This window comes from Homo sapiens, chromosome 16, assembly GCF_000001405.40.
Source record: "Homo sapiens chromosome 16, GRCh38.p14 Primary Assembly".
NCBI lineage: Eukaryota > Metazoa > Chordata > Mammalia > Primates > Hominidae > Homo > Homo sapiens.
In genome coordinates, this window is record NC_000016.10 from 47,602,033 (window position 1) to 47,616,976 (window position 14,944).

Here is a 14,944-nt window from a genome sequence, read left to right on the forward strand (position 1 = left end):
TTAATGAAAATTTGCTTGAATCTCACAACAGAATTTTTTTTAAGAGACAAGAGAGTTTCACTCTGTCACCTAGGCTGGAGTGCAGTGGTACCATCATAGCTCAATGGAGTCCCAAACTCCTGGGCTCAAGTGATCCTCCTACCTCAGCCTCCTGAGTAGCTGGGACTATGGCCACAGATCACCATGCCTGGCAGGATCTTTTTCTTTTGGGGATGGGTATTATTTAATTTCCTTGGAACACTAACAAGCTACTTTTAAAGTGATAAAATGGATATAGAAGTACTTTAAAATATCCAAAGTGTTATATATATACGAAGTTCCCAACTTAATTTCTTGGGTTCCCAAAGTTCTTTGGTAAGTGATTGTTTGGAAGCCAATTTATTTTTCCTGTAGAAATTATATTTTAAATGATTATTAACACCCAGCAAACTTGTAACCATGGGGTTACAGATTATTTCTCTGACATTATCATCTTTTTCTTCTACTTTCTCCCTCCCTAGCTTCTCTTCCTTTTTTTTTTTTTTTTTTTTCTTTTCTTACATTTTTCCTGTGCTGTAGTGAAAGGTGAAGAGTTTGTGGATTATGAGCTTAGGAATCAGACAGTCCAGGATTTGAATGTAAAATCTGCCACTTACTACCTGTGTGATCTGAGTTTTCTTAACTTCCATGAGCATTAATTTTTTATTTTTATGTTATAAGGATTAGCTGGTAAGGAAATACACATAAAGCATTTACTATGGGACAAATACATGTTTAAATGGTTCTTCCACTTTCTGTTCATACTTTACCATTCATCTACTTGTTGATCTCTGCTTCTATTTATAGAGGCCTACTCTTTGATAGTGACTATGGATATCCAGTAGCTCACTAACAAGAGTTATAGGAAATACTTCTCTCTGTCTCTCTCTCTCTCTCTAAGGGCAACCTAATTATTCTGACAAACCACTTCCTAATTCCAGTGTATGTAACAAAAATAAGTCCTTTTGCATTTGATTTTATTCATGACATTTCTTGCCCAATTGATCTCAAATATAAAAGCTACTGAGTAAACCTGGAAATCTAATGCTTTTTAAACTTAAAATCATTCATCAAGTGTCCCCTAGTGTATGTATATAAGGACATAAGAAACTGAGGTCTTGATTTTCTTTGATCTGTTGTCTTCAAATGCAGTTGACTCTTCAGGATAGCACGTGGTTTTCTTACTGCTCCGTTCAAGATAAAATGAATAGAAAAGAGTGTACAGGTATATTTTTACATGTTGGTTGCTAAGAGATTTCCCAGTTGTTGCACTTCAGGAAACTTCAAGAATATTTTCATTATCTTTCTCATGTTACCCATGTGATGGCTAGTGACCTAAAGTGGGATTTCTGTGCAGCAGGCATTATAAACATCGGGAAGCACATGTAGTATTACTTTAAAGGCTTCACCTGGGAAGACTTTCTTTAGCTTTATGTATAAATAACTGACTTTCTTTTTTTTTTTTTTTTTGGAGATGGAGTCTCGCTGTGTCGCCCAGGCTGGTGTGCAGTGGCACTATCTCGGCTCACTGCAACCTCTGCCTCCAGGGTTCAAGCAATCCTCCTGCCTCAGCCTCCCAAGTAGCTGGGGCTACAGGTGCTCACCACCACGCCCGGCTAATTTTTTGTATTTTTATTGGAGGCGGGGTTTCACCATGTTGCCCAGGCTGGTCTCGAACTCCTGAGCTCGGGCAATCTGCCCGCCTTGGCCTCCCAAAGTGCTGGGATTACAGGCATGAGCCACCACGCTTGGCCAATAACTGACTTTCTTATATGTCACATTCTGTGCTCTGCCTCTTACAAACATCATCCTAAGTAATCCTCCTAACATCTCTCTGAGATGGGTACTATGTGGCATAGGTGAGGAAACTAAGGCCCATAAGAGTTTAACAACTCACCCAAGGTTACAGAGCTCATGACTAGCAGAGTTTATTGATTTATCAGGAGTCTACAGGGTGCTTGTGTCACCTGTAACCTCTGTGGCATTAAATATTCCTATTAAAAGCAAAAACATTGCTAACCTAATAAGATAATAAATTGAGTCTTGTTTTCATTTATATTCTGACTATTAGAAACATATTTCTTAGTCACTCTTCTGTGAATTGTCTAGTAATTTTTTTTGCCCATTTAATCTTGGTTTTATGGTTTTTCTTATCAGCCTACATGAATGTTTTATATATTAAGTGTATAAAACCTCTCTGATATTTTCCTAGTTTGTTTGCCTTTAAATTTTGCTTTTGCTATATTTTCATGAGCAGAAGTTAAAATCTTTACACACTCAGATCTACCAGTGTTTTCCTATTTAGTTTTTGCTGTGGAATTTACCATTTAATTTTAGAAAGTCCATCCTTGTTAATCAGTTGACTAAAATGCATACACACACACACACACATGTATTTGGAATTTTCTGGTATAATATGAGGTTAAGGATCTGCATTTTCTTTTTCTCCAAATAGCTCATTTCATAATACATGTGTTACTAATATGTGTCACCACAGCTGAGAATCAGCTAGGCTTTGAAGTACATAATTTTACCCTGTAAGTATCTGCTGAGCCTATTTTAGTATGTCCTATGTAATTTTTGTGTTATGACAAAAAATACTTGCTCTGTTAAGTTTTCTTTAAATTATTATTTCATTAAAGAAACAGATTTTTCTTAATATTTTCTTTTTACGCTGGACAGTTTTTGCTTGGGGTGAGCCCAGGGTATATTTTATAAACCTTCTGTGAAAAAAAAATTAATTAACTTAATTCCTATTTTCTAAGGATTTAAAGACAGATATCTCCATTTTGTAGAAATTCTTGATTATCTTGGAGGTGTGGTGCTGTACTGTAAATGTAGAAAGCCATTATCTCTTACCCTCGTTCTTTTATTTTCATTTGAAATATTCTGTAGTTTGTTGGATATAAGTTCTTTCAGGATTGTCACTCTTCACCAGAAAATCAGTTTCATTGAATTGGCACAATAAAGAACTCTATTTTTGCCTCCTGAATGATAAAAATCAATGCAGTGGGGAAAAAATGTGCCCATAAACTTGACCTTTTAATGATATTTCTCACATTTACCATTATGGAAATTAAAGTAATGATTATGGCAATTAGTGTTTCTGTATTTGCTAACCGACTAATTTATTATTCTGCTTAGTAAGTGTATTGAGTGCCTACTAGGTGCTGGTGGCTCTGCTAGGTACTGGGCATCATGTATAAGAAGCATACAGTCTATGAGTTTATACATGAGCACGTGGTGTAAGTGGGAACATCAAGCTAGATGAAGTGTGGCACAAAGAGAAACACGAAGGAAATGCAAAGAAATAAGCTTTTGGAAGACTTGGTTAACCATTCAATTCTTACCAATTTTAATAGATTAGCATTTATGCTTTACAAGGATATAAGGTTTCTTAATTTATCTGTCACTATTTATAAATAACAAAATACTGTAATAAAGATAGAATTTAGTTTCTATAGCATGACAGTGAAAACTTGTTCGTTTTAGAAATTTTTTCACATCTCAGTGATCATACAATTGAGATACGGAAATAATTTACTGCCTATCTAGAATATCAGTGTACTAATCAACCCTGTATCATGAGCTAAACTGAAATTAGTACATTAAAGTTATATGTCGATATCTGCTTTCATTGGTTTGGTTTAAATTTTGAAAAAGTGTATTTTTTTTTTCAGAGAGAAAGGAGAACATTTGTAATATGCAACCTGATTTCGATAGGAAAAATGTAACATGTCTAAATAGTTTTTTTTATTTCATCCTCCTTCTGCTATTATTTTCACCTATGTTATGTAGAATGTCAGTGTTCTTAAAGGGCAGGATTAGTATGTGATTAAGAGCCCAGACTCTGGGAGTCGACTGACTGTGTCTCAGCTTTGCTCTATACCAACCACCAGGAAGTTGCCTAAACACTCAGGTGCCTCTGGTTCATCATCTATAAAGTGATAAGGTTGTTGTGAGGATTAATGAATGAATATATGTGAAATACTTAAAACAATGCCTGGAGCTTAATAACTGTGTAGGTATTGCTGCTGCTGCAGAGGCAGCGGTGGCTCTGGCAGACTCTGCTTCTACTCTTCCTCCTTCTTGTTATTCTACTGTTAATACTACTTTAATTATTATTGAAAAGATCTTCCAAGAGTTACTAAAATCCTTTGGTGATTTTGTCTCAAATAACAATGCAGATGTGCCTGGAAGATACCCCAGGATAGAAATCTAGTATAGAAATATTCCTAAAACTGCAAATAAATTTATAACCATTGGTTCCTTGCTCTGTCATATTCACTACCTAAAAGCAATTTATAAATAGCTATGGAAAATGAACTGTAATCTTTTTAGTAAATATTATACATGGGTACATTTATACAAAACTCAGCATAGTATTGTTTTTAAGTGATCAGTGTAGAGCCAAAGATCAAGAATGAAATAAACATGTTTTATAGCTTACATGCAGTAAAAATGAAGAAGTGTGCCGACTCACTTTAGAAGTTGGATTTTTGTTTTTGTTTTTGTTCAATTAATTTGCACATGTGTGAGCATAACTAAGATAACTTTACAGATGCGGACTTGCTGGGTTGGAAAATACGCTCACTGTAAATTTGTGTAGATAACTGACAACTTGCACTCCAAGGAGGTTTTGCAGAATTGCATTTCAGGGGCTTTTCCTACCACTACCACCCCTCCCCTGCATGTTCTCTTCCAGGCCCATGGAGAAATCCTGCTGTAGTGAGTGAGCCTCTGGTGCTGATGGTTATCCTTCAAGTGTGTTACAGCAGAAGACAGCAGAGAACCACAGACTTAGTGCCTTCCTCCCCACTGCCTCTCACTCTAAATTTCCATCCTCGTTATACCCTAGGATTTTATCAAAAGTTGCCATAAGGAACTACCATGTTAAAAGGGCTTCCATTTTTATAGTGCAACAGCAATTGAGGATGTTGCCTTCATGTTGGTCAGTGCCCCATAAAAAAACGCCCCTTCTCAGAAATCTCTTTTAGAATTTTGTATCAGGAAACATTATTTCTTAACAAACTGATTTCCTTCCTATTATTTTTCTGATTTTTCTGAAAGAAATCTGACTTCTTTCCTATTATTTTTAAAATAGCTTTATTGAGATGTGATTTACATACCATATATTTTACCTATTTAAAGTTTACAATTCAGTGATTTTTGGTATATTTATAGAGTTGTGCAACCATCACTGCCATCAGTTTTACAATGTTTTCATCATCTCCCTGCCAAAAAACCTCATGCCCAGTAGTAGTCACTCCTCATTTCCTTCTCATCACTTCACCCTCTTCCCCCAGCACTAGGCAATGGCTAGCCTACTCTCTAATTCTATAGATTTGCCTATTTGGGACCTTTCATGTAACTCGAAACTGATAATGGACCTTTGTGTCTGGCTTCTTTCACTTAACATAATATTTTCAAGGTTTATCCATGTTGTAGCATGTTTCAGCGATTCATTCCTTTTTTATGGCAGAACAATATTCCATTGTATATATACATTACATTTTATTTACCCATTCATCAGGAGATGAACATTTGGGTTGTTTGCACTTCTTAGCTATTATGAATAATGCTGCTATAAACTTTATATAAAATTATTGTTTAACATATTTTTCATTTCTCTTGGGTGTATACCTAGGCATGTAATTGCTGGGTCTATGCTAAGTCTTACGTTTAACATTTTGAGCAACTTCCAGACTGTTTTCCAAAGCTGCTGTATCATTTTGCTTTCCCATCAACACTATTTGAGGGTTTCTGTTTCTCCACATCTTTGCCAACACTTGTTCTTACCTATTTTCTTTTTTTAATTGTAGCCTTCCTAATGGATATGAAGTGATACCTCATTGTGGTTTTGATTAGCATTTCCCAAATGACTAATGTTGTGCATTTTTTCATGTGCTTATTGGTAATTTGTATATCTCCTTTGGAGAAAAGCCTATATAGACACTGTGGCTATTTTTTAATGGGTTTTTTTTTTCTTTTTATTATTATGTTGTTATGAATTCTTTATATCTTCTAGGTGTAAATCCCTTACAAGATATCTGATTTGTGAATGTTTTCTCACCATTCTTTGGGCTGTTATTTCACTTTCTTGATGGATCTTTTGAGGCACCAGAAAGTTATAATTTTGATGAAATCCAATTTATCTCTTTACTTCTTTTATCACTTTTGTTATGATGCCATAGTTTTGTCTAAATCAGTCACAAAGACTTACTTCTATATTGTCTTCTAACAGTTTTATAGTTTTAACTCTTACATTTAACTCTTTGATCTATTTTGAGTTGATTTTATATATGGTGTGAGGAAAAGGTCCAGCTTCATTCTTTTGCATTTGAATATCCAATTGTCTCAGCACTATTTGTCAATAAAAAAACTTTTTTTGGCTGGGCATGGTGGCTCACGCCTGTAATCCCAACACTTTTGGAGGCTGAGGTTTGAGGCCAAGAGTTTGAGACCAGCCTGGCCAACATGGCAAAACCTTGTCTCTACAAAAAACACAAAAATTAACCAGGCATGGTGGTAAATGCCTGTAATCCCAGCTACTCAGGAGACTGAGGCACCAGAATTGCTTGAACTTGGGAGGTGAAAGTTGCGATTGTGCCACTGCACTCCACCTGAGCAACAGAGCAAGACTCTGTCTCAAAACAAAACAAAGAAAAATCCTTTCTCTCCCTACTGAATTGTTTTGGCACCCTGTCAAAAATCAGTTGACTATACATGCAAGGGTTTATTTTTGGACTCTGTATTCTATTTCTGTCTCTATCCTTATGCTAATGCCACACTATTAATTACCATAGCCTTTGTCCTTTCCAATCTGATACTTTTTATTACTTTTTCTTTCCCAATTTCCCTGGCTGGAACCTCCAGTTCAATGTTGAATAGAAGTGGTGAGAGTGGATATCCTTGTCTTATTCCTGATCCTTGGGGGAAAGCATTCAGTCTTTTACCATTGAGTGTGAGTGTGATATTAGCTGTAGCTTTTTCATAGATTCCCTTTATTAGGTTGAATACATTTTCTTCTGTTCCTACTTTGTTGAATGCTTTTTATTCAAGGATGTTGAATTTTGTCAAATGCTTTTTCTCAGTCTGTTGAAGTGATCACATAGTGTTTTCCCCTTTATTTTGTTGATATGGTCTATTAGTAATTAACTTTGTGATGTTAAGCCATCCTTGCATTTGTGGGATAGATTCTACTTGGTTATGATGTGTAATCCCTTCTTTATGTTACTGGATTGGGTTTGCTAGTATTTTGTTGAGGATTTTTGTGTCTATATTCATACAGATTTTGCTTTGTAATTTTCTTGTGATACTTTGATTTTGGTATTAGAATAATACTGACCTCTTAGAATGAGTTGGGAGGTGTTCCCTCTTTTTTGTGGGTGGGGGGGGGGCACAGTTTGTGAAAGGTTGGTTTTAATTTTTCTTTAACTGCTTGGTAGAATTCACCAGTGACGCCATCTAGTCCTGAACTATGTGTGGATGTGTGTGTGTGTTTGTGTGTGTGTGTGTGTGTGTGTGTAAAGTTTCAATCACTTTATGTACTTTTTACCAAGCTGTTTAGATTTTCTATTCCTTCTTGAGTCAGTTTTGGTAGTTTGTGTCTTTCCGGGAATAATTCATCCATTTCATCTAGGTTATCTAATTTGATGGCATGTATTTGTTGATATTATTCTCTTATAATCCTTTAGTTCTGTAGTAATGTTTCTTTCTTGAATTCTTGATTTAGTAATTTGAGTCTTCTTTCTTCTTTTCTTGGTCAATCTAGCTAAAGGTTTGCAAGTTTTATTGAGCTTTTTAAGAAACTACTTTTGATTTTCTTGATTCTGTATTGTTTTTCTATACTGTTTCATTAATTTCCACTCTAATCTTTATTATTTCCTTCCTTCTGTTGCTTTTGATTTAGTTTGCTCTTTTTCATCCACTGTCTTTTTTTGTTTGTTTGTTTTGTTTTGAGATGGAGTCTCTCTCTGTTGCCCAGGCTGGAGTACAGTGGCACAATCTTGGCTCACTGCACCTTCCACCTCCCAGGTTCAAGCAATTCTCCTGCCTCAGCCTCCTGAGTAGCTGGGATTACAGGCACACACAACCATGCCCAGCTAATTTTTTTTTTTTTTTTTTTTTTTGTATTTTTAGTAGAGATGGAGTTTCACCATGTTGGCCAGGCTGGTCTCAAACTCCTGACCTTGTGATCCGCCCACCTCAGCCTCCCAAAGTGCTGGGATTACAGGCGTGACCCACTGTGCCCAGCCATCTCATCCACTGTCTTAAGGTGGAAAAATAGGTTATTGATTTGAGATTTTTCTTCTGTTTAATATAGGAATTTATAGCTATAATTTTTTCTCTGAGCATTGTTTTACCCACATCCCATTGATTTTGGTGTTTGTCTTTATTTTCATTCATCTCATCAGAAAGTATATTAGAATATATTTTCTCATTTCCCTTTTGATTTATTATTTGACCCATTAGTTATTTAGTAGTATGTTTTCATTTCCACATATGTGTGAATTTATAAGATTTCTTTCTGTTATTGATGCCTAATTCCATTCCCTTGTGGTCAGACAATATACTTTTTATGATTCAGTCCTTTTCTATATATTGAGGCTTATTTTATGGCCTAGTATGTGGTATATCCTGGTGGAGGATGTTTCATGTACACTGAGAAAAATGTATATTCTTCTCTTGTTGGAGTATTTTCTAAAAGTCTAGTTGGTTTATAGTGTTATGCAAATGCATTTTCGATAATGTCATTCCCCTTCTTTTTTTCAGCTGATGAACTTATTAGTCCTAAAGACATTGATCCTGTCCAGCGCTATGTCCCACTAAAGGATCAACGTAACGTGAGCATGAGGTTTTCCAATCAGGTAAAGAATTATTCTATTTCTTGATTTAGACTCGTCCAGAGACATTTAAGCTTAATTGAAGAGGAAATTTTTGTTCTGAATAGGTTTTTGTTGTTCCTTCTGACGGAAAGGTTTCTCCCTCTTCTGGTTAGTTAAGATTTACTTGTGGTGAAGGGCTATTTGTTAATGAGGAAGTAGATTTCAGATGGGTCCAACAAAGTGCCTTGCAGGTAAACATTTCCATCTTCAGAATGTTGAGTTTAAGGTGTCAAGTGTCTTTGAGAAGAAGCAGTGCATCTGGGTGGCAGGAGGACCAATGACTGAAGGGAGTGGGATTCCCCAAAAGGCCTGTGCTTGATGTCTCTCCTGTGCTGTGGCTCTTGACAGGGCTGCGTGACTGACAGTTGTTACAGCAACAGTGACTTGGTGACGTGTTGGGCAAGGAATAGTTTTAAAATTTTTACATTTAGTAGCTATGGATTCAGACTGTGTTGTGTCAACAAAATAAGTGTTTGTAGGATCAGCAAGATTGATACTGACTTGAGCAAACCCTCAAGTATTAAATGATACCAGTAATGAGGACTGTTAAAATGAGAATGTTGTGGATTGTGGAAACTGCCTGAAGAGAAAGGGAATGAACCTGCATGTGTGCCTGGGATTCTAAGCAGTTAACATGCATTTAATAAGATTGGTATCAACGCTTACAGAAGATAGGCTTACAAATGGAAATGTTCCTTATATTTAAAAAAAAATGTGTATTATACACACAAACACACACACACACACACAGAGCAATAAGTGCTTGTTTTAATAAGAGAAAGGGAGAGCCAACAGCCCCGTTAGATTCTATTGCACTGTTTCTCTGACTCTTTTGCTGGTCTTCAACAAAACATGTAATGACTCTGAGTTGTTTATGGATGAGAAGCTATCTGAGAGACTTGTAAATAAATGCTATGGTTTTCTCAAGAACATAAAATTCCTGTGTTAATATGTGATGAAAATTTCTCACTGGCCTGTTAGCTCTTTATGTAAGGGGGTATTTGGCCTTTATCTTAGTTACCGCTCATGTTGGTACAATTGGCAGAGTTGTTCTCAGCACTTGGCGACGTGTTGGGGAAGGAATAGTTTTTAAATTTTTGCATTTAGTAGCTATGGATTCAGAATGTGTCGTGTCAACAAAACAAGTGTTTGTAGGTACAGTGCAAGTGTACAGTCTGTACTGATTTGAAATACACCATTTTACTTGAAGACATGGCAAAATAGAGAATTCATCCAACTTCATATTACCAGTGCTATGACTGAGCCATTTTAAGACTAATGTGTATCACTTAAATAGTATTTCACATGTGTGACCCACTTCTCTAGAGTGATGAAACCTCAAAGCCTTTTCTTAGAAAATAAATTAATAGGTCACAGATTTGAGGTGTGCAGACAGGAGCCAGAGAACATCAAAGCATTTCATAGGCATATGGCTAACAAAATCATCAGTTTAAACAGTTGTTTCATGCTTGACACATATAATGATGGCTGTGGGTTATGTGTAAATTTTGGTGTACAATATACTACTTGCAACTCTTTCTCTCCTGCTCAAGAAAGCTTATCAGGAGATGAGTGACTGAGAGTGAATTTTAAAGAGAATTCACTCTACAGGTATGTTTTATCTCAAAATTACTTTGTACTGCTGCTACTGAATTATCTGTGTCATGCCTCCCAAGTGGAGCCACATCCTAGCTAAGAGAAATGCTCCTCTCCTGTAGCCACGTGGCAGATTACCTCTGTGCAGTGTTGTATACAGTTTCCGAGAGGGAGGTGATGGGGAGATTTGCAGCAAAAAACTACTGGGAGTGGATATGTCCCCATGTGGTTGGCAGCTTGGTTGTGGTGGTATATAAAATACTGAAGCTGCCTTGCCACTTTCTCAGCCATTTTAAGCAGTAGGCAAGACCTGGCATGCCCATGTCTGTTCCCGGGGCTGGGTGAAGTGGACTGATGAAATAGAGTGGTCAGACATATCCCCAGATGTGCAGCCCTCTGTTTGAAATGTTGGTGTCAGTAGCCACTTAGTCATGATTGACCAGGTCAGATTTTGTAACTAACTGATCTTTGGGAATTCACTAGGTGCTTTAAACCCTACCACAAATTAGGAAAGTAAATAGGGAATAGTAAAGTCCAAGCAGTTTCTGAAAATGGTAGAAGTGCTTGTTCCCGAAAGAAGGTATGTCAGGGATCCCATGACTGCCCTCAGCCACTGTAATTCACTAGAGGACTCACAGAACTCAGAAGCTGTTACACTTAGACTTAGGGTTGATTACTGTGAAAGGATACAGAATAAAATCAGCAAAAGGAAAAGGCATGGGGCAAGTCCTGAGGAACCTCAGCACAGGCTTCCAAGTGTCTTCTTCCAGTGGAGTCAAATGAGATGCTCTTACTTACTGTAGTGAGGATATGTCAACACATGCATAGTGTTGCCAACCAGGGAAGCTTGCTCAAGCTTCATTGTGTATAGTTTTTACTAAAGGTCGGTTATGTAGGCATGCAGCATCTCAATTGTTTAAGCACCAGCCAGCCCCACAGGGAAAAACCAGATGTTCACCATAAACCACATTGTTAGTGCCAACTCTCTGGACAAACTGGTACACTGTGGCCCAAGGCCTCAGGCATGCAAAACACTCTTATCATCTTGTGAGTCTTTTACTTTTTCTCAAATGTTTTCTGTTTCTTTATTTTTGGCTATATTTTACATTAATTACATTTTATTAAAATTTTGTGTAATTTTGTGTAACCACCGTCACGGTCAAAATACTTAATTGTACCATCCCATATCACCATAAGGCTTCCTTGTGTTATTCCTTTATAATCATACCCACTTCCTTCACCCCAGTTCTTAACCCGTTGCAACTACTAATCCGTTCTTTATTTTATAATTTTGTCATTTTAGGAATGTTATAAAAATTGAACTGTACCTAACCTTTTGGGATTGGCTTTTTTTCACTCAACATAATTTCCATGAGATTCATCCAAGTTGTTGCATGTATCAACAGTGTATTAGTCCATTCTCAACTGCTATAAAGAAATACCTGAGACTGGGTAATTTGTAAAGAAAAGAGGTTTAATTGGCTCATGGTAATTTGTAAAGAAAAGAGGTTTAATTGTAAAAGAAAAGAGGTTCCACAGGCTGTACAGGAAGCATAGCAGCTTCCAGGCTTCTGGGGAGGCCTCAGGGAGGTTTTCCTCATGGAGGAAGGCAAAGCAGGAGCAGGAGAGTGAGGGGGAGGGCCTACACATTTTTAAACAACCAGATCTTATGAGAACTCACTGTGCAGTACCAAAAGGGGATGGTGCTAAACCATTCATGAGAACTCCACCTCCATGATCCAATCACATCCCACCAGTCCCTACCTTCAACACTGGAGATTACAACTAGACATGAAATTTGGGTGGGGACATAGATCCAAACCATATCACATAGTTTGTTTCTTTTTATTGCTGAGTTGTACGCCATGGTATGGTGGTACCTTTGTTTAACCATTCACACATTGAAGAATATCCTACAGGTTATTCGAACATTTCTTAGAATTCCACTTTAATTATTCATAATGTTCATTTATAATGTTTTTTCATATATCACTTTTTAAGTTTTCATTAGTTGGTTGTTCTAGGAATTACTGTATACATACATAAGTTATCAAAAGTGCAGTGGTATCATTTTGCCACTTTAAGTGAATTATAGAAACCTTACTTCTTCCATTAGTTTCCCTTACCTTCTTCATTTCTTAAACATAATTTTTAAAAATATTTCCTCTGTCTTCATTGAGCAGCACATCAAATTGTGTGAAAATTTTTGCTTCAACCATAAACTTTGATTAAAGAAGTTCATGGGATGATGGATAGTCTATTGTACTGACCTCAGTTTTTACCATTTATGTTCTTTCCTTTCTGAATGTCCCAGCCTTCTTCTGTTATCATTTTCTTTCTGTTTGGAGACCTTCCTTTAGACATTATTTATGGGTAGGTCTGCTAGCAACAAATTTCTTAGTTTTCCTTTGTCTGAGAATATCTTTATTTCACCTTCATTACTGAAGGGTAGTTACGTTGGATATAGGATTCCTAGTTAACAATTGTTTTACTTCAGCACTAAGAAATATTGTGCCACTTCCTCTGGCTTCCGTAGTTTCAAATGAGAAATTCCCTGTCAGTTCAAATTTGTTTCCTCTACAGATAATGCCCCATTTCTTCTTGTCCTAAGTCTCCTTATGCCACTGGGTAGAGGGCCAGAAGCTACCAGGCTCAGGTGACATGGGAGGATCAACCTAATTGCTGTTGCCCCTGCTGTGGAGCAGGGGTCGAGTAGACCTGTCATTGCTTTGAACCCTCTGCAGGTGAATTGGACTGCCCAAGGGTACCTGAGTAGTAGAACACTGTGGAGTCAGGAAAGCCGTCTGGGGCTTCTTTGTTGATGCTGCAAATATGTTGGCCCATCAGCGCTGTGGTTGTGAAGCAGAGGTTGGGTTGGCTCACCAGGACTTTGAAGTTGCTGCTAAAGACAGATTGATTGGCCAACTGGTACCTCAGTTGAAGAGCTGAGATTAGAGCTCCCCACTTGGTCTCTGTTGTGCTTTGCATTTCCCTATCCTCTGGTGAGAGAAAACAGATTTTTCTTTTTTTCTATGCCTATTGGTTATTTCAGGCTGCAGACTCCTGCACTGCCCAGCCTAGCATATGTGTAGTCTCAAGAGTCTCACTGCATTGCCATTCTTCAAGTGCTGAGGCCTCTGGCCAGTCCAGTCTGCTTTCTTTCCAGCTTTCAGAATCCTTTAATAGTTATCTGTCTAGGCCATCTTGTTCCTACTTCCAATTTTTATAGTGGATAATGTATGTTCGTAAGTCTTTCTACAAGTAAAAAAGATTTATTCTGTTCCTTTACTCATCTTTTTTCTTCAGAGTAATTTTTTAAACAATAATGGCTATCATTTATTGAGCATTTATTTTTTAATAGCAGCTTTATTGAAGTATAATTTGCATCCCATACAATTCACTAATTTAAAGCATGCAATGAAATGGTTTTTAGTATATTTACCAGAACCAATTTTAGAACATTTGGAACTATTCAGATACTGCGGCCATTTTTTAATTGTTTCTTTTTATTATTGTATTGTAACAGTTCTTTATGTATTCTGAGACCTTTATATGATTGCAAATATTTTCTCCCATTCTGTGGATTATCATTCCAGTTTCTTCTTGGTGTCATTTGAAGCACGGAAGTTTCTAATTTTGAAGAAGCCTCATTTATCTATTTTTTTCCTTTAGTTGCTTGTGCTTATGGTGTCATGTCTAAGAAAGTATTGCCTAATCCAAGGTCATGAAGATTTGTGTCTGTGTTTTCTTCTAAGAATTTTATAGTTTTAGCTCGTATACTTAGACCTGTGATCCATTCTGAGTTAATTTTATATACGGTGTGAGGCATAGAGCCAGCTTCATTCTTTGTATGTGGTTATCCAGTTGTCACCATTTGTTGATTCTCCACAGTAAATTTTTTCTTTTTTTAAATAAAGTAAAATATATATGATATATAATATATCAATTAATATATATTTTATATATTTATATGTAAATATAAATATATATTTATAATATATAAATATAAATATAAAACATATGTTAATATATATTTTACATATAAATATCATATATTAATATATAATATTTTACATATAAATATCATATATTAATATATGATATTTTACATATAAATATCATATATTAATATATAATATTTTACATATAAATATTATATATTGCCCAGACCAGCTCGGCTGTGTAGAACCTAACCCAGCGGTGCTAGAGGAATTAAAGACACACGCACAGAAATATAGAGTGTGGAGTGGGAAATCAGGGATCTCACTGCCTTCAGAGCTGAGAGCCTTGAACAGAGATTTACCCACATATTTATTGACAGCAAGCCAGTCATAAGATTTAAAGGGATGGGCTGAAATAAAGGGATGGGTCTGGCTAGTTATCTGCAGCATGAACATGTCCTTAAGGCACAGATCACTTGTGCTATTGTTTGTGGTTTAAGA

At 36.4% G+C, this 14,944-nt stretch overlaps 1 protein-coding gene across 3 annotated transcripts in view; it reads left to right on the forward strand.

The window, feature by feature from the left end:
* PHKB (phosphorylase kinase regulatory subunit beta) overlaps positions 1 to 14,944 on the forward strand; it is a 240,225-nt gene that overhangs the window by 140,734 nt on the left and 84,547 nt on the right. For all 3 annotated transcript variants that reach the window (NM_001363837.1, NM_001031835.3, NM_000293.3), the window contains one exon: positions 8,794 to 8,888. In NM_001363837.1, coding sequence (NP_001350766.1) covers positions 8,794 to 8,888 — 95 coding nt within the window. The remainder of the gene's footprint in view (positions 1 to 8,793; positions 8,889 to 14,944) is intronic.